Source organism: Homo sapiens, chromosome 8 (assembly GCF_000001405.40).
Source record: "Homo sapiens chromosome 8, GRCh38.p14 Primary Assembly".
Lineage (NCBI taxonomy): Eukaryota > Metazoa > Chordata > Mammalia > Primates > Hominidae > Homo > Homo sapiens.
The window spans coordinates 28,737,037-28,756,968 of NC_000008.11; the positions used below are offsets into that span (position 1 = coordinate 28,737,037).

At 45.2% G+C, this 19,932-nt stretch overlaps 1 protein-coding gene across 13 annotated transcripts in view, besides 2 other annotated features; it reads left to right on the forward strand.

The window, feature by feature from the left end:
* Positions 1-19,526, forward strand: part of EXTL3 (exostosin like glycosyltransferase 3) — a 148,827-nt gene extending 129,301 nt beyond the window's left edge. For 7 of the 13 annotated variants that reach the window (NM_001438401.1, NM_001438753.1, NM_001438402.1 and 4 more), the window contains 3 exons: positions 483-627; positions 6,050-6,178; positions 13,621-19,526. In NM_001438401.1, the coding sequence (NP_001425330.1) occupies positions 483-627; positions 6,050-6,178; positions 13,621-13,830 (484 nt within the window). In that variant the 3' untranslated portion in view covers positions 13,831-19,526. The remainder of the gene's footprint in view (positions 1-482; positions 628-6,049; positions 6,179-13,620) is intronic. The other 6 variants (NR_073468.2, XM_024447096.2, XM_047421515.1 and 3 more) reach the window with 2 other exon arrangements.
* Positions 14,737-15,681: an enhancer, noted in NCBI's record as "H3K27ac-H3K4me1 hESC enhancer chr8:28609290-28610234 (GRCh37/hg19 assembly coordinates)". NCBI's record gives its function as "activates a minimal SCP1, AML or CMV promoter by ChIP-STARR-seq in naive H9 embryonic stem cells {active_cell/tissue: H9 hESC(naive)}" and the evidence as "EXISTENCE:reporter gene assay evidence [ECO:0000049][PMID:30033119]".
* Positions 15,682-16,624: an enhancer, noted in NCBI's record as "H3K27ac-H3K4me1 hESC enhancer chr8:28610235-28611177 (GRCh37/hg19 assembly coordinates)". NCBI's record gives its function as "activates a minimal SCP1, AML or CMV promoter by ChIP-STARR-seq in naive and primed H9 embryonic stem cells {active_cell/tissue: H9 hESC(naive and primed)}" and the evidence as "EXISTENCE:reporter gene assay evidence [ECO:0000049][PMID:30033119]".
* Positions 19,527-19,932: the final 406 nt, after the last annotated feature.

Sequence of the window (19,932 nt, forward strand, 5' to 3'; positions counted from 1 at the left end):
CTTGCTTCAAGCAATCCTCCTGTGTTGGCCTCCCAAGTGCTGAGGTTACAGGCATGAGCCATCCCACCAAGCCCTTTCTTGGAAATTAAATAAGCTAAAAAAAGAATTGAAATTGATATCATCTTTCTGCTGCTTAGTAGATTATTGTATATACCCCATTCTGGAGCCCTCCTTAGTAGATATTGTACATACCCCATTCTGGAGATCCCCTTTCCAAACTTAGGGCTTATTCTTTCTGGAAGGGCTGGAGGATGCTGACTGCTAGAGGGACAATGTGCAGGTGCTTATTAAGGAAGCTGAATATGATACCTTATTTGCTTTTATCCTGTTTGGCTTGTTGTTGATTTTGTTTTATTTTGAAAGGATACGAGAAGTAAAAGCCTAAGGGCCAGAGCTTGTAAGGTGGAGGCAATAACTGTGAACACTTCTGATGACCCTAGAGCTCTGTATTCAGGTCTGTGTATGCACTTGTGTTTTTCAAGGGTGTGGAGAGAAGCTCGGGACCGCATCGTGGGCTTCCCTGGCCGTTACCACGCATGGGACATCCCCCATCAGTCCTGGCTCTACAACTCCAACTACTCCTGTGAGCTGTCCATGGTGCTGACAGGTGCTGCCTTCTTTCACAAGGTAAGAAAAAGCTGGTAATAATGGCATCGACTTGGTGAGAGTTTCACCTTTGTGTGGTAGCGGAATGCTGCCCTCAGCTTAGCTCTCCTAACGCTTCTTACATGTTTCTTTTGTGCTAGAAGTCAGTTTTTTCTATTTTTACAGACAATGATCAAGATGCTTAGAGCAACTCTGGGATAAAAAGTCAAGATGAGAGGGCTGCCTGTACAGTTGCACATAGGCCATTTGGAAACCACTTTATCTTTCTGGGCGTTGGCTCTCCGTTTGTAAAACTGAGGGCACTGGGCTAAAGACACCTCAAATACCTTCCAGTTTTAACACTGCCACCCTAGATATGGCCCAGCCATCAGAAGGTGACCTGGGCACTTTTCTGACTTAGATATACCATGCCTGTCCCGGGCCCCACGATGAGCCTCTGTGTGGCTCTGCCAGTTCTTTGTGATGCTTTAGTGCTTATTACTTTCACTGTGCCTCCTAATCTGATTTTCACTGAATATCTGAAGCTTAGGACCCTGCAGTCTTTCCTCCTCTACTGTTCTGTATTCTGTTTTTTTCTCCTGGCCCATCTTCCCTCTCTACCTCTTCCATCCTGTAAAGTGGCCCCTGACCACAAGTGGCTGCTGATCACCTGGTGCATGACTGGTCAGAATGGAGACGTGCTGTTCAGTGTAAAGTGCACAACAGCTTTCAAAAACTTGTAACAAAGGGTGTCAGATAGCTCAGTAATTGTTTGTGTTGATTGCATCTTGAAATGCAGTTAGTTTGGATTACTGGGTTAAATACAGTTATTGATTTTTACTGTCTCTTTTTACTTTTTAACGATGTAGCTTCTAGAAAGTTTACAGTGCTGTATGTGGTTTGCCTTCTGTGTCCGTGAGTGCCGCTCTCTACCTCCCTCCTGAAGTGTTCCCGGGCCCTGAGGAGTCCCTGTTCTAAGATTACCCTGGCATTACCCCCACTGCCCACCACACAGAGCACCTCTTCTGTGCCCTGAGTCTTCTCTGAGGACAGTGCTCCCATTAGCCTTTTCCTGTAGACTTTGAGGCACTCATTTCCCCACATCTGTGCTTTGGCACAGGGCAGGTGTAGGGAACATTTTCATTGCTTACCAATGACACTTCCCTCCCAGCTGTCACATAAAGTCTCATTTGCAGCTCCTGTCGTCTGTCTTGCTGCCATCAACCAGCCTTTTCATCGTGCCCTGACAGTCACCAAAGACGGTGGCACCTGCCTCCTTCTCTTTGTCTGCATCCATGCCCTCCATGGTTCTGGTGCCTCCACTGTCCTCACGGAAGACCCTCCCACCACTCTCTCTGCATGAATGGTGAAGTGTCCCGGGGTCTAGCCTCTGTTGCTCTTCTTATTTTCCCTAGGCGTTCTGTCTCACACACAAGGTTTTGAGGCTTTTCTTAGCATCTGCAGGCTGGTAATTTCCTCATCTGTATTCCAGCCTTGGCCTTTCTTGCTGAGGTCTGCGTTTGTATATTTCATTGTTTCCAGCATATCTCCCGTTTGTCCCTCAGACACTTCAGGTAAACTTTTCCCAGGAAAGCTCACCGTCTCTCCCTAGCTCCTTGAAGTCTTTTCTCCCTTACATATCTCCCATCTCAGATGGTGGCATCTTGCCAGTCACCTCAAATAGAACAATAAAATTCATTTTTATAGGGACTTTTTTAATTTTTTAAGACAGGGTCTCACTGTCGCCCAGGTTGGAGTGTAATGGTGGGGTCTCAGCTCATTTTAGCCTCCACCTCTTGGGCCCAGGTGACCCTCCTGCCTCTGTCTCCTGGGTAGCTGGGACTACAGGCACGCATCACCACACCTGGCTAATTTTTTTTGGTAATTTTTATAGAGATGCAGTTTCGCCATGTTGCTTAGGCTGGTCTCGAACTCCTGGACTCAAGCGATCTGCCCGCCTTAGCCTCCCAAAGTGTTGGGATTACAGATGTGAGGAACCGTGCCTGACATATAGGGACGTTTGAACCAGCCTAAGCAGTCGTTAAACTTTCAGCTGTTCTTTTTCTTTTAAAAACTTAATGTGTGAAGTTGATACACTCATCCCATTCTTGCACTTCACCTCAGGACTTCCTTTCCTTCGGTGGGCCTTGTTTGGACTGAGGATTGCAAGTAGAGTCAGAGGATTAGGGTGTCAGCAACTGGCCAAGATTTTCACACTTGCTCAGCTAAGAAGGAGCCACTGATCTTAGCAGCGTCTACTCATACCTTGAGGATGTACTTATCTTCTGAATTGCCTTCCCAGATTCAGACTGTTCTTTAAAACCATGAATGGTCAGGTACCTCTACTTTCAAGAAATCATTTACTTAATGAAATTTAGTATTTTTCCTGTGTGAAAATCTATAAAGAAGATTACAGACTAGCAGCGCCCAAACCTCAGTTGGCTTACAGAGAGATTTTTGGGCCCTCTAGTGTTGTCCTATGCACTGACAACTTCTAAAAATCACAAGATTTCACAAAAAGACCTGAGCTGCAATACAAATGAAGATCAGGTCCTCTGAGGTCCTGTCTGGGGCGTCATGGCGGCTGCTCCTGTAGTTGAGGCCCATGATGGGGCCTTCATGCGCTTACCTGCCTGTGGCTCCTCGTTTTTCTTACACCTATTTCTTTTTTTATTTTTATGAGACTGAGTTTTGCTGTGTGGCCCAGGCTGGAGTGCAGTGGCACCATCTCGGCTCCCTGCAACCTCCACCTCCTAGGTTTAGGCAATTCTCCTGCCTCAGCCTCCCGAGTAGCTGGGATTACAGGAGCATGCCACCACACCTGGCTAATTTTTGTATTTTTAGTAGAGATGGGTTTTCACCATGTTGGTCAGGCTGGTCTTGAACTCCTGACCTCATGATCCGCCCGCTTTGGCCTCCCAAAGTGTTGGGATTACAGGCGTGAGCCACAGCACCCGGCCTACACCCATTTCTTTACACTCATTTGTCTTACTTGCTTGGTCCACGAAAGCAGTTAGATTGGTCCTCTCTGATCAACAGCTGTCAAGTTTTTTTCTTTTTTTTTAAAATCATAAGTGCCTGTCAATAACACTTTTTAGACCTGTACCTAATATATATGTATATTTACTTATAAATTTTATGCATGTGTCTATTACTGATAGATATTTTTTAGAGGTTGAAATAACGATGAAACAAAACTTTAAAATAATGTGATCACTCAATTCTTAAATTTTAGTGAAAGCAGTAGGATTGAATATGTTTTATTATTTTTGAAAATCTTGATTGGATACTGTGTGTTATAGCAAGTCAGGTCTGTTTCTAAATTAAACTTTTTTTTTTCTCTTCTTTTTGAGATGGAGTCTTCTCGCTTCTTTCTCCAGGCTGGAGTACAGTAGTGCAATCTTGGCTCACTGCAGTCTCTGCCTCCTGGGTTCAAGCAATTCTTCTGCCTCAGCCTCCCCAGTAGCTGGGATTCACCCTGTTGGCCAGGCTGGTCTCGAACTCCTGACCTCAAGTGATCCACCCGCCTTGGCCTCCCAAAGTGCTGGGATTATAGGCGTGAGCCACTGCGCCTGGTCAACATAAATCATTTTTGACAGCAAAACCACATACTGATGGAAATACCTCTGAACAGTTATTCTGATAATGCTTTCATCAGTTTTTTTTAAATTATTATTAAAAGGCAGTTCTTATTGTTAAAATGTCATTTCTTTCAAGACGTGTTATGTTAATATATTCTCATCAGCATACGAAGGACAGTCACTGGCCATTTAAAGGGTCAATAAATTTGAATTACCTTTTTTAAAAAGTGTATTTATTTTATTTTATTTATTCTTACTCTTTTTTTTTGAGACGGAATCTCACTGTCACCCAGGCTGGATTGCAGTGGCACAACCATGGCTCAGTGCAGCCTAGAACTCCCAGGCTCAAGTGATCTTCTCACCTCAGCCTCCTGAGTAGCAGGCAGTACAGGCACATGCCACTACATCTGGCCAATTTTTTATTTTTTTGTAGCTATGGGGTCTTCTCCCTGTGTTGCCCAGGCTGGCCTTGAACTTCTGGGCTCAAGCATTTCACCGACCTTGGCCTCCCAAACAAAGTGTTGGGATTACAGGCATGAGCCACCATGCCCAGCCTGGATCACCTTTTTGTTAAAAAAAAAATTACAATTCATTTTTTTAAGTTCACCAACTCTTAAGTACTTTGCTATAAGATAATTAGCACATTTATTCTGTGTTACAAAAAAATTTTATCATTATTTCACTCAACATATTATATTGTAGGTAATGCAATATGTTCATCAGTTAATCAGTTTAACTGGGCACCTCACCTATTCATTTGTTCATTACAGCAAATTGCAACATATAGCAGTTAACATGTGCCCTGTCTTGTAGTATTTGCTGATTTCTATGGTATAAATACTCTTACCTTGGCTGATTTGAAGTTATCAACATGAGTCACTGAACACGGATTTGGGAAGAGATACACAGTTGTACACCATTACATAGTAATTTCAACATCAACAGTAGATATAGGTAACCTCAAGTTAATAGTAAAATATTAACTAGGAAGTAATGAGTTTAAGGTGTTTATTGCATGGATTTTTAATATAATTTTAATTTATTTAATTTGAAGTTTATGTAATTACATCTTTAATAATGGCTATGTTTAACAACAAGCTGACAACATTCTGAAAATGTAGAAAGCGCCATTCATGAGCAGGTGTGAGTGGCTCCAACACACCCCTCTGTGGGCCTTGTAGGACAGTCTGAGAACTTTGCCTTTTACTCTGAGTGAGATGGGAAGTGTTGGAGGCTTTGGAGCGAAGGGGTGATATGTTCAGTTGGTTTGAGTGTTAACACAATCACCTGCTGCGCTGGGACTAGCACATGGGGAAGAGAATATGGCAGCAGGGAGAATATTTAGGAGCTGATGTGGAGAATCCAGGCAAGAGACGAAGGTGGTTGGCAGCAGGGAGTAGCCAGGGCCGATGGCGAGTACTGACCAGACTCAAGAATCTGTACAGGAGGCAGTGAGGGATCGTGTGTTTCATGGTTCTGTGATTTATTGAGGTCTGAGAAAATAACCAGGCTTTTTTCTCTCACTTATCTTTTTTTTTTTTTTTGGCCATTGTTAGAGATAAAATAGTGTTCAATTGAACCAGCATCTGACCTAGTTTGACAAATCTTTGTATTGATTTCAAAATCACTGCGGTACCAGGGAGATGATATGACATTCTGTTACTAAAGGGGGTGATGATGGCAGTTTGAATGGGATAATTCCTCACTGCAGAAGATCCACACGACAGGATGTCTCGAATCCCCTGCCCCAGTCCCTAAGTGCCAGTAATACCTCCTAGTTACTGCCACACCCAAACAGCCCCTCCATCCATGCATATTTTGGCTGAAAGCCAACAACCTGTGTCTTGTAACAGAGCATGTGGTTCTTTTTCTTCCCCTGACAGTATTATGCCTACCTGTATTCTTATGTGATGCCCCAGGCCATCCGGGACATGGTGGATGAATACATCAACTGTGAGGACATTGCCATGAACTTCCTTGTCTCCCACATCACTCGGAAGCCCCCCATCAAGGTGAGGTCCCACCACTGGTGGGGCTGTGGATGCGTGCATGTTTACTTCACTTGTTTTGCAGTAGTGCAGCACGTAACTGCACTGTACCTCAGAGTCCTCATTTGTACAATAGGGATGATACTACCTACCTCATCAAAGGATTGTCTGTGAGCTTAAATGAGTTGTTACTACAGGGGCCCTTCATTCCTAAGGGCAATGGATAGAAATCAGAAGGTTTGGAACTTGGGTGGGAAAGATGTTGCATCATTATTTTTATTAATGTCTTACTGGAATAAAGCATTTTCTTCAGTTATGAAACAGGCTATAATTCATAAGAGTATTTGTAGTAACTGATTTGTCACCAGTAGAAATCACTGATATCTTCATATCACAATACCTTTATTGCAATATCTGCAAAAAGTATTGTTTGTATTTGTTACTGCTTTGAATTCACGGCAGTTACTCCCTTTCCCCTAGATGTTGTGATTTAATACATTAAGAAAAGAGCATGTATGTCACTGTGTTTTACTGTAACTCGTTTCCTTTGTCATCCTGTGTATTGTAGTTTATATACCTAAAAACATTACTTTGAGGAGTCTACAGTCTTGACCAGATTGCCAAGCCAGAGGCACAGGCGATGTCCATCAAACAAAAAACTTAAGAATTTCTGAGTTAATATATGTAAAGCTCTAAGAATAGTGCCTGGCACATAAGTACTATATAAATTATTTGCTCACAACCAAAAATACCCTCAGAATTCTAGAAGTTCTGAGGGTATTGTTGTGTTTTTTTCTTGGAGGTATTAACACATACACTCAGTGCACAGAAAGCCTGGTTCCACCCACTTCCTGTCATCTTTGTGGGCTCTGTCAGCAAGTTAGAGCATGCTGGTAAGGGTTAGGATAGCTCAGTCCTCACAGAAGCAGATGTTATTAGAACCAATAATGCTATAGAATCTGTCACTCCAAATGAATATTTGTGACTGTGCTTCGTCTGTGTTTGTCTGTTTCATAATTGAAGAAAATGCTAAATTCCAGTAAGAGATTTATACCTGATGTCCTTAGAAGGGTCAACAAACTAATGAGGTCTTATTTTCATTATTATCAAAAAGGCATATTATTTAATTTTATGAAATAGGTTTACCTTCATGGGTGACATTGCCATGAGTAAATAGTTGTGTTCGACTGGGTGCGGTGGCTCATGCCTGTAATCCCAGCACTTTTGGAGGCTGAGGCAGGCGGATCACTTGAGGTCAGGAGTTCGTGAGCAGCCTGGCCAACATGGTGAAACCCCGACTCTACTAAAAAATATACAAATTAGGCTGGGCGCAGTGGCTTACGCCTATAATCCCAGCACTTTGGAAGGCTGAGGCAGGTGGATCACAAGGTCAGGAGCTCAAGACCATCCTGGCTAACACGGTGAAACCTTGTCTCTACTAAAAATATAAAAAATTAGCCAGGCGTGGTGGCACGCACCTGTAGTCTCAGCTACTCAGGAGGCCAAGGCAGGAGAATCACTTGAACCTGGAGGCGGAGGTTGCAGTAAGCCAAGATCGCGCCACTGCACTCCAGCCTGGGTGACAGAGCGAGACTCCATCTCAAAAAAAAAAAAAATACACACACACGCACACACAGTAGCATGCGCCTGTAATCCCAGCTACTCAGCAGGCTGAGGCAGGAGAATCGCTTGAATCCAGGAGGCAGAGATTGCAGTGAGCTGAGATCATGCCAGTGCACTCCAGCCTGGGTGACTGAGTGAGACTCCGTCTCAAAAAGAAAATAATAATAATAATAATTGTGTTCTAGACTAAGTACCCACCAGCATGTACTAATAACGATAATGAAATCATCTTTAGAAGCTGGGTGTAGTGGCACATGCCTGGTAGTCTCAGCTACTCAGGAGGCTGAGCCAGGAGGATTGCTTGAATCCAGGAGTTCAAGGCTGAATGTGCCATGGGCGTGTCTGTGAATAGCCACTGCACTCCAGCCTGGGCATTGTAGTGAGAAAGAAGTCGTAGCTTGAGTGCTAAGCAGGGTGGCCACCAGAGGACGCTGGTTCCATGCAGCAAAGCATAACAAAGAAATGCATGTGGAGGCCAACTGTGGCCCCTGCGTAGGATGTCACTCCTGATTGTCCCAGGGTTTCATCTGTTGCCGAGACTTCTGCTAAAGCCTCACAAGAGAAGAATAATTAGCAACATAATGTATCAATTTTTTTAAATTGTGAAAAATAGTCACAAGTATTTATATAAAAACAGTATGTTTTCCAGGTACAGTGGTAGGTCTCATATTAAACAGTGAAAAGATTTTGTAGACTTTGAGGTAGGGAGGCAAAGGTTTTAGAAAGCAATTAATGATGGGTGCAATTTTCTCTTCCTTATATATCCTTTCTTATGTAGCCAGGGACTGGACTTGAGTCAAGATGTATGCATCAATTTATGCCTCTCTAGTAGACCAGAAGACATGGTCCATGAAAATTTAAAGTATCTGAGTGATTAGGTACCTAATAATAGCATCAGTTACCTGAGCAGGCACAGACATGGGGAATTTTTCATCTTTGTTAAAGTGTGTTTGTCTACTGCATTATTAGGCCAGTGTTTCATTAGTTAAGCCATCTCTTCAGTGCAGGTGGAAGTAATTTAGACATGGTGCACATGATTCTTACCAAGTGAAAACTTCAAAACTGAGTATTCTCTGTGAATTTTCTTCATCTTTCTGGAATATATGAAGAATTCAAGATTGGGATGACTTTTCAAATTCAAAGGCTGAAATTAAGAGTGTTTTCTAACTCTTAGTAATTCCTTCAACTTATGAATCTAATTATTTACTTCATAATAAAGAACCAGTTTGAATTAAATATTTTATTTACCTAATTTTAATGGTATCAGGTATATGTACTATTTTATGTTCAAAAATAGTAATTTTTTTGTTGTGCTTTAAATACCTCAAATTTTTACTGTCAAACTATTCCTTGTTTGAGTTAGGGAGGTTTGACTGCTTCGTATGATTGGCAGTGTTCTTTCAATAATGTTAATATCTTAATATTGACTAACGAATGGGGAGTTAATGTCATATTATTTCTTTGAATAATGTACTACTTTTGCAAGGAGAACACAGAATATAAATAGGCTTCATTCAGGATAAGAGATTGAAAAGTCACCTGTAAAGTTTTGAGAAAACAGATGGCTTAGGTGGTAAGGAAGCCGAAATGCAAGTGAACGTCTTGGTTCTCTGGGGTGATATAGGTTCTTGGCAGCTATCAAGGATTTTCCTCATTGTTACTAAGCATAAAACGAATATTTTTCTTAGATTGAGTTACCTGGAATCTTCCATGTAAACTGTGATCCACGATATTGGTTAAATAAGTAAATGTCCAGACTTCAGTTAATATTATAGTTGCTTCATTCTTTTTAAATTTTTTGCATGTTTTATTATGTAACACAGTTATATATTTACAAATATATTGGGGATGCAGTCTTAAATGGTTTTTTGTTTCTTTTTTGAGATGGAGTCTCGCTCTTTTGCTAGGCTGGAGTGCAGTGGTGCAATCTCGGCTCACTGCAACCTCTGCCTCCCGGGTTCAAGCGATTTTCCTGCCTCAGTCTTCTGAGTAGCTGGGACTATAGGCGTGTGCCACCACGCCCCGCTAATTTTTATATTTTTAGTAGAGAAGGGGTTTCACCATGTTGGCCAGGCTGGTCTCGATCTCTTGACCTCGTGATCTGCCCGCCTTGGCCTCCCAAAGTGCTGGGATTACAGGTGTGAGCCACCGCACCCAGCTTAAATGTTTTTTTTACTGATGGATTACATGATTAAAACATTTGGAAACCACTGCTTCCGTGAAAACAACAGTTATAAAGTCACCTTTTGTGTCACATGGAATAATGTGCAGGTTAAAGGGCATTTCTCCTGGGGTTGGATTCTGGTGTCTGGAATGATGAGAAAGGTTTTTAGATCCAGTGAGAGCCCCATGGAATACTGGACATAGATGCTGTTTGAGAACATCCTTCCCCAGATTCCTGACCCCTACATCCTGCTCCAGTGGGAACCGTGGAAGAGCAATAACTCAGTGCTGACGTGATCCCGAAGGGTTCTAAGAGAGCAGCAGTGAGTGAGGGGAGAAGTGAGGAGACAGGTGGGACCCTGGAGGGGGACCTGTGGAGGTCATGACTGTCCAGAGACTCGGTTCTGAGGGGAGCCACCCTTTGAGCACTGGCCTGTGTCTCCTCCCAGTTTAAACTCTGGGACCTGGGCTCTGACGGCGCATACTGGCTGTACACAATGATTACTCTTCCACTATTAAGTTATGGGATGTGTCTTTCAATTAAAAAATTTCCCCTTAATTTATAATGGAAATTTAAAAATTATTTGAGAAAAGATAGACATGCAGAAAGAAATCAAAAGTACCAAAACTTTTGGCTTATTTCTTTTGGTTCTCTGGTATCCTGTCTATCGTGGTGACTTATTTATTTATACATACATATATATATACACATATGTGTGTAAAAATACGTATATATGTATTTTTTCTTTTTCTTTTTTTTTTTTTTTTTTGAGATGGAGCCTCGCTCTGTCACCCAGGCTGCAGTGCAGTGGCACGATCTCAGGTCACTGCAACCTCTGCCTCCCGGGTTCAAGTGATTTTCCTGCTTAAGCCTCCACAGCAGCTGGGATTACAGGCATGTGTCGCCATGCCCAGCTAATTTTTTTGTATTTTTAGTAGAAACAGGGTCTTGCCATGTTGGCCAGGCTGGCCTCAAACTGAGCTCAAGTGATCCGCCCACCTTGGCCTCCCAAAGTGCTGGGATTACAGGTGGGAACCACCACATCTGGCCTTATTTTTATATTTTAAATTTATATACTTGATTTGCAGTCTGCTTTTTAAAAACTTGACAGTAGGCTGGGCGCTGTGGCTCATGCCTGTAATCCCAACACTTGGGGAGGCTGAGGCGGGCAGATCACGAGGTCAGGAGATCGAGACCATCCTGGCTAACACAGCAAAACCAATCTCTACTAAAAATACAAAAAATTAGCCAGGTGTGGTGGCAGGCGCCTGTAGTCCCAGCTACTCGGGAGGCTGAGGCAGGAGAATGGCATAAACCTGGGAGGCGGAGTTCGTAGTGAGCCGAGATCACCGCACTGCACTCCAGCCTGGGAGACAGAGTGAGACTGTCTCAAAAAAAAAAAAAACTTGACAGTAAATTTTTGGGTTTTGTACTATAGTGGATTAGGTAGTTTGAAAACCTGATCACTATAAGTAACAAACTTATTTTTTCAGTGTATAGTTGAGCTAATAAAAAGGTAAGAGAATTGCCAGAAAGGAAGCAGGTGGGAGGACTAAAACTTAGGGTGGCAAGCGTGGTGGCATCACTGAGGCCACCATGGGGGGCTGCTCTCACCTTAGTTGTCTAGAGGCTTGGATTTTATCACTCATGTGAAGGAGTGTAGAGCCTGTTAAGGGTGGAGAATTAGAATGGAGATCTCCTACCCGTTGCCCCGGGGAGATGACACATACCTTGTTTATTTTAACCTTGACTCTGACAGGTTGTTGGGGAAGTGTAGGTTGAGAATGTTAAATAGTCTTTTGAGCCTCCATGGGCTTAGGGACTCATTCTGTATGAAATCTAGACCCAGGGCCACATGAGATGGCTCAAGTCTGTAATCCCAACATGTTGAGAGGCTGAGGCAGGAGGATTTCTTGAGGCCAGGAGTTCCAGACCAGCCTGGGCAATATGGGGAGTCCCCAGGGAAAAAACAAAAAAGAAAACTAGACCCAGTCGTCGATACCCTTGGACTGTTTGACAAAATAAAACCAAAAATCTGTTATAAGGAGAAATTACTCTCAGCAGAGGAAGTTCCCACTTAAGAAAAAGAGAAATTTCTTCACCTCAGGTCACATAGGACACGCACAGGTAAAGCCTCATTGAAGATGAGCTTGAAATGTAAAGTCAACAGTCAGCCACCAAGAAAACAGCTGATCATGAGCAGGAGTGAACACATATAACAAACAGGTTATAGTTCTCCAAGGATTTCAAATAATAAAGCCATTAGATAGACTATAAAACAAGTAGGCTTAAAATTAGTAACCTGAAAACATAAAAAAGCAACAAATCACTCCAAAAAGAACAAACAGATTGGAAAGCCCTAAATGGAACTATTGAAAATGAGAATCATAGTTATTAAATTTCAGTGAAATGGGATAAAAAGATCAGACTTAGGTGAAAAGAAAAGGAAGTAGAAGATAAATTTAAAGACACTTCTTCCCCATCTTTCTTTGTGAGGCGTCCACCCCTCCCTGCTCCCCTCCATGGAGCCAGTGTTTCCAAAGGCCCCCAGCCCGCTTTGCAGGTGTCACTTCTCCAGCCCATTTAAAACCCAAGTTCATGGCTATCTTGCAGGATTTGCTTTTTCATTGTTTGGCCTCTGAGGATTTCATTCATTCATTCATTCATTCATTCATTCATTCATTCATTATTCATTGTTTATTCATGCATGCATGTATGTATGTGAGTGAGTGACAGGGTCTCACTGTCACCCAGGCTGGAGTGCAGTGGTACCATCATAGCTCATTGCAGCCTCAAACTCGTGGGCTCAAGCAGCCTCCCATCTCAGCCTCCCAAGTAGCTGGGACTACACCAGATAGCTGGCCTGCTGCCACACGCAGCTAATATTTTTATCTCTTGTGGAGATGAGGTTTTGCTTTGTTGCCCAGGCTGGTTTTGTACTCCTGGGCTCAAGCGATCTTCCTGCCTTGGCCTCCCAAAGTGCTGGAATTAATCACCAGGTAATTTCATTTCTTATTACAGGCTCTGCCCTGTATTTAAAGAGATGGTTTATGTATTTCTTCTTGCATGTTCAGGTGTTCTGAGGGGTTTTTATGCCATTCGGCCTGCCACATTGTAATGAAGCTGTCCCTCTTCATACTTTTTTAGTTAGACATTTTCTAATTAATAATAATATGACTAGACTGTAGTATGGCCACTTTCCCATGGCTTTAAATGTAGTTAAGCATCTTTTTTATGGACAGTATTCAAGAATGATAGCCCCTCTTTGACTAGCCCCTCTTTGGGTAGTCTTCAATACCCAAAGCCCCTCTTTGGGTAGTCTTCAATATTTTGATTCAAAACATTGATGAAACAAACAACTCGGTACCTACCTATGGCTCTGCAACCAAGTACATACTAGGAGTAGACTTACTGAGACAGCTGACACTACACACGTTAAGGCTTTTGGCATCTGAGAAGCGTAGGCCATCTCAACAGAATACCTGACAATGTTCTGGAGACATCTGGTAGGCAGGAGGCCTGGGGCCGGGCTCTGGTTCCTGCCATGCTCTGCAGGGATGTTGCCCCTGAGGGGATCAGCGTCTTCACCATGGACATGGGAGTGTGGGATCGGCTCAGCTGCAAGGGTTCTGTCAGTATTAGCTGGGATTCCCACTCTGTCTCTCTCTCCCGTTTCCAGGTGACCTCACGGTGGACATTCCGATGCCCAGGATGCCCTCAGGCCCTGTCTCATGATGACTCCCACTTCCACGAGCGGCACAAGTGCATCAACTTCTTCGTGAAGGTGTACGGCTACATGCCCCTCCTGTACACGCAGTTCAGGGTGGATTCTGTGCTCTTCAAGACACGCCTGCCCCATGACAAGACCAAGTGCTTCAAGTTCATCTAGGGGCAGCGCACGGTCTGGGGAAGAGGATGAGCAGAGGGAGGAAGATGGCTCCCAAGGTTCCTAGGCATTGCAGGACCTTGGGCACATCTGCTGGTGGGTGGCCCAGAGCCTCTGCTGGAAGGGGCAGCAGGAGGAGTGGAAGGAAACCGCTGCCTTTATCTTGAAGTCAGCCACACTGGGCCTGGAGCCCTGGGCGGAGTCCCCGGGGTTCCCCACACAGGGCACTGACTGATAGCTTACACTGAGGACTGTGGCGACTCTGCAGAGTCACTCACACCGTTCGTACGCCCAGGACAGCTGGTTCGTGGTTTTTACATTCAATAACAACTATTATGATTATTTAAAAAGAGAAAGTTTCAGATTTGCCATTCAAGGCTTATTTATATATATGTGTGTGTATATAAATACATGCACACACTTGCATACATATATATTTTTGGCTGGGGGAGTGTGAGTTTTGCCTTTCTAAGGGAGGGACCGCGCAGGCTCCTTTGTTCTGTATTCTGGCGGAGATGGGTCCTGGCCTTGTGTCACTGGCTTATCCTTAAAGATCATCTCCCATCCTCCCCAGCGCCATCTGTGTGCAGCAACCAGAAAGGGATGAACTTGGCCCTCTTGCGGGCCTGGACAAGGTCTCTTCCTTACCCTTTCTGTTGCCAGTCAGCAACCTGTAACTCACATTCTCTTCCCAGTGAATCCCTGGGAGCGCCTGACCCTGGTGGGCTGTTCAGCTTCCTGCTGCTGGGGCCAGCGATTTTTGAGGATTTATCTTTAGGCCAGGCTTGCCTCCGTACTTATCCCTGCTCTCCCATTTCTCTCTTGTTTGAGAGAGAATGAGGAAGCAAAGAGTGAGAAAGAATAGGGGCTGAAGACGCCACTCCCAGATGGCTCTTTCTATCCTGCTCTTCTGTTGAAACACACGTGCTGTGGGCCTCAGGCGTTTCTGAAGTGCTCTTTCTTGGATTGGACAGGAGATCAGCAGCGTGCACATCTGCTGTGGTCTGAAGTGGTTTGCAGGTCAGCCTCCTCTCCCTAGTGTAGAGCAAGCCAGTGTCCTTCGAGGAACCCACCCGGCTGGCCGGGAAGTTTTACAGCAAGGCGCCTGCCTTGGGATAATTCCTTGGTGAAATTCACCTTCCCCCCGCCTCTGTCTGGAGCCCCATCCTGTGTTATCTGTGGTTTTTGGACCCCTAATGTCAGCTTGGCTGTAGGACTCCCCGAGGTTTGGTATGTGCTAGAACAATGGGAGGCTGTGATTTGCTGTGTAAGCTCACATCCAGCCTTGGAATCTAACGGGCATTCACAACCCGAGTTACCACTTTCCACTCCCTGCTTAGGATTCTGTTCCCTGGGCTGAAACTGAAATAAGCTAATTTTTTGGGTCACGGTGGCAGTAGGGGAACCTAGGAGGGTGTGAGTGGCATTTGTCAGGGATTTAGCCCATGACGTGTTTCTTGAACCCTACTTTCTGGAAGTGGAGTTGACTCTGGAAGTTTTCTAGCAACTGAACAAAAGCTCAGGTTTGTCCTGGTCATGCACATGCCTTAAGCCAGTTCCGTCTTCCCTAGACCTTGGCATCCTGTGCTTCTATTTCTTGGAATACGTTCTCCTCTGACCTGCCTGTACCACGTGGGTCCTCTTCAAGTACTGTTTTGAAGCTGGGCTCTTTTGTGTAGCTCCCACCCACCTGTAGGGCTAGCTCGGCTTAAGGGAACTCTCCCCATTGGCAAACCGGACCCGGCCGCCGCCAGGACTGTGTTTCCAAAGGTTCCCCGCCCCCAACCCCAGCATCAGCCTGTAGCTCCCCTGCTGAGGCAGTGTGGTTATGTTCCCAGCAGTGGGGGTCAGACGCCCTTCCTCAGAACTTTCTAGTTGCCCTCTACCTGACTCCTGACTTGTATTCCTTTTAGCAGTAGCCTTCTTCCCTCGGGGAGCCAAAGAGTGTGGTGTGTGGCGCTATATTGTGGCTGCTATTTCATCTGGTTTCTTTTAATGTGAGGAACTCACATACTGACTTCAGTGGGACTCGGTGAGCCGGGGCCGTCTGTGTGGTGGGACCCCCTTTAGCGGGACTCAGTGAGCTGGGGCCGTCTGTGTGGTGGAGCCAGGGCCTCTCCCTTTAGTGGAGCCAGGTTGTCGGGCCCCGAATGTCACTGGTGGATCTAAGAAGGGCTGAGTGGTCTGACACCAAAACATGCCGCAGGGAGGGCTGTGGTGCCGGTGCTTCCAACAAGGACAGCCCTCCTTGACCCTGAAAGGAACACTGGCTTGAAGGACTGCAGACAGGCTCTGAGGGGCACGCCCTCCTCAGCGAGAGGCAGCAAGGTGGCCACAGTGTCACTGGTCAGGTGCTTCTCACCACGGGAAAGCCGCCGACCTGTGACTCGCTTGAGATGGGAAAGCGGCGCCACAGACCCCGGGTCTCCTTGGCTGTCTGTGGGCCGCCCCTGGCCACCTTGTCCTGGCTCGCAGGGTGCAGGAGCGCCTCGTTCTCTGGGTGGCCGGCTTGCTGCTCCGGTTTGGGCTGTCTTACCATAACACCGTCCCAGGGCTCTGCAGGCCACTGTGAGCGCTGGCTCCCTGGGCAGTGCTCCTCCGTGTGGACTGTGCCTCAGGCCAGGGCTCACCAGCTGGGGTCCTGTCCGGAAGGATGGGATCTTTCTGGGAGCTGCGCCGGACAGAGTGGGGAGCTCCTAGTTTGTGGGGGGAAGCTTTGATATCCATGCCACGTCCATCCACCCCACCCCTTTTCGTCACGAGCACAATGGTCTTACATTGGATTTTTGTAAAAAAATAAAAATAAATGGAGACTTTAACTCAAGCAGCTTGGAGGTCTTTTGTGGTTTTCCTCAGCAAGTATGGAAGAGTGACCTGAGAGAAGGCACCTGCTTGATTGCTTGATTCCAGGTCGCCACCTGTGTATGCCAGCTGGGCCTGCTCGCAGAAGACGATGGGAGGCAGCCTGACCAGGCCCTGGTGTGGGCTGTGGACCAGAGATGGGTGAACAGACTCACACTCACATGGGCAGCCTTGCCTGTGCCCGGTTCCAGGGCAAGTCATTTTGACAAAACAGGAACTTAGGGGCTGTTGAGGTGCTTTAAGCAGGATGTGGAAGGGCATGTGGCCCATATATGCAAAGTTAATTTTTTCATGGGAATTTAAAATGCGTGTGTGTGTGTGTGTGTGTGTGTGTGTAGTGGTTGTGGGGAGCTGTGTGTGCCTGCGATCCCAGGACAGGTGAGGCCTCACTGTGAATGGCTCGATTCGGTCCATAGGTCATGCCCCTGACCTATAGGTCACTAAGGCACCTGTACCTGCACCGAGCTGACGCTCCCTGACTGCAGAGCCCCATCCTGTTGGTGCCCACAGGCCTAGATCTTGTGCTTGGCTGTGGGATCAGAGGCTTCCTCAGGAGAGGGCACTGAGCTGTGGGCTTCGGGGAGAAGGATGGAGATGGGAAAGGGGGTAAAGGCGAGGACTCCTCTCCTGGGCTCTGCAGGTGGCAGCTTTGGTCACACTGACAGTCCTAAGAATGGGTGAGACTTAACAGTCGGTGTCCCTCCTCAAGTGGGGTTCACGACTGATCAGGCAAGTTTGCAGCAGCTGATGGGTGAGATGTCATCGAGGGGCATTCCTCTTTGGGTCTGGAGTTTTGGCTGTCAAGCTCCTGTTCTTCCAGCCATCCATCTCCATGTTACGATTGTCCTGGGACCAGAGAGACTTGAGAAGGTGGCATGAGGCTGTAGAAAATGTGTCTTCCTATACACAGAGATATGATGTCTGCTTTGAGTCTATACCTGTCGAGTTGTGTCTTGGACTTACGGTCTGCCAAGGTGGTAAATGTTAGCTGTTGATGGGATCATCACTGAAGTGGAAGGCTCCACAAGGTTTACAAAATGTGTTAAGAAGAATGTTGATGGTGGTGTGTGGTGCCTAACATCTTAATCTCAGCATTTGGTGAGGCAGAAGTGGGAGGATCACATGAGGCCAGTTCAAGACCAGTCTGGGCAACATAGCAAGACCCCCATCTCTACAAAAAAATTAGAATGTTATGAAGATACTGAAAAGAAGAAAGGAGAATGTAGTGGGTAAAGGTCTGGGCCCTGGAACAGACTGGGTGCAGATCTTGGGCTGCCCATCACACTGGTGGAGAGCAAGTTATCTATTACTATTTTAGGCTCTAATCCCACCATACGGTGGCAAAAGTTGTGCCCATCTCTTAAGCATATGTTAAAAGTTAAATAATATAATATACGTAGAGTCCACTGTTTGACACAATAAAAATGAACTATTACTGGAGTAAAATAGTGTCCACTTCTTCATGGCTCTTTCTGCCTTCCGCTAGGTTTGAGCGCCAGCGCCTGGCTGAGTGCCCTGCTCACCTCCTATTAGAGCCCCCACGCTCTGTCGCCTCACCATGCTGTGTGCTGGCCACTGCTCTGCCTCCCACACCGGACTGCAGCCTCTCAAGAACACAGGAGTTCCATAGTTTTCTCATGAATGAATGCTTTGACAAAGTGAAGAGGGTCACTTAGAAATCACAGCTTAGGCAAATTGTTTTACCTTTCTTCATCTGTCTTGACGTTTATGAAAGAGTACAGGCTGGGTGCGGTGGTTCACGCCTGTAATCCCAGCACCTGGGGAGGCCAAGGCGGGTGGATCACCTGAGGTCAGGAGTTTGAGACCAGCCTGGCCAAAATGGCGAAACCCCTTCTCTACTAAAAATACAAAAATTAGCCAGGTGTGGTGGCACGTGCCTGTAATCCCAGCTACTCAGGAGGCTGAGGCAGGAGAATTGCTTGAACCCAGGAGGCGGAGGTTGCAGTGAGCTGTGATTTGCGCCATTGCACTCTAGCCTGGGCAACAAGAAACTCCGTCTCATAAAAATAAAAAAAAAGTACAGCTGCTGGTCCTGTTGTAGGACTGTCATGTTAGCATTGAAACTACTTACATTCTATTGATTTAAACGACTGGTCCCACATTTCAAACATACGGCAATGTTGAAATCATTTCTAGGGCATAAATGTCTATGTCATTTTACTGGACCCGCCTTGGAGCGTCCCATCTACCCATGCCCCGTCCCTTCACCCATCCTGCCATTCATCCTTTCATGGTGCACTGTTGAGGTACATTTCTGAGTAAAGTGGCAACATCAATGCATTTCCTTCTAAATACATGGGCATACAACTGTTCATTATAGGTCAATGTTTGTGTTTTTAATGTAAACTTTATTTTAAACGTGCACACTGTAATGCACACATCTTCAGTGTGCATTCTTTTGAGTTCTGACAAATGCACACACCTGTGTAACCCAGACCCCTCTCAATATATGGAACACTACTATCAACCCAGAAAGTCCCCTCCTGCTCCTTCCTCCTAGTCAGTCCCCACGTCCTCCATCCTCAGACATAGCCAATGCTGATGGTTTTTTTCATTTTGGATTAGTTTTCCATATTCTAGAATTTCATATAAATGGTGTCCTATAATTTCTACTCTTGTGTGTGTCCGTCTTCTACACACCCAGCATAACGTTTTGGAGATGCATCCATCGTTGCTGAATAGATTGGTGATTAGTTACTTTTTATTGCTTAGTATTCCCTTGTATGAATTGAGTAAAATCTGTCCGTTCTATTATATAGGTACTGGGGCTTTTTCCAGTTTTTGGATATTATGAATAAAGTTTCCGTGAACATTCATGTGCAAGTCTTTCTGTGGATTTTTATTTCTCTTGGGTAAATACCTAGGAGTGGAATTGTTGGGTAATATGGTAGATGTATACATGTTTAGTTTTGTAAGAAACTTCTAGACCTTTTCTCAATGCGATCATTCCATTTTGTACTTCCACCAGTAATTATGAGACTCCCAGTTCCACATCCTCACTGATCCATGGTCTGGTCAGTCTTTTTAATTTTAGCCATTCTGGTGAGTAATGGTGTCTTATTTCATTCTGCGTTTTCCTGATGACTGGTGATTTAAGCACCTTTTCATGTGTTTACGCCATTTATATATATTTCCTTTGTGAATTATCTGTACACATCTTTTGCCCATTAAGAAAAACTGGATTGTCCTTTTTTGAATTGCTTTCTTTTCTTCCTACATTTT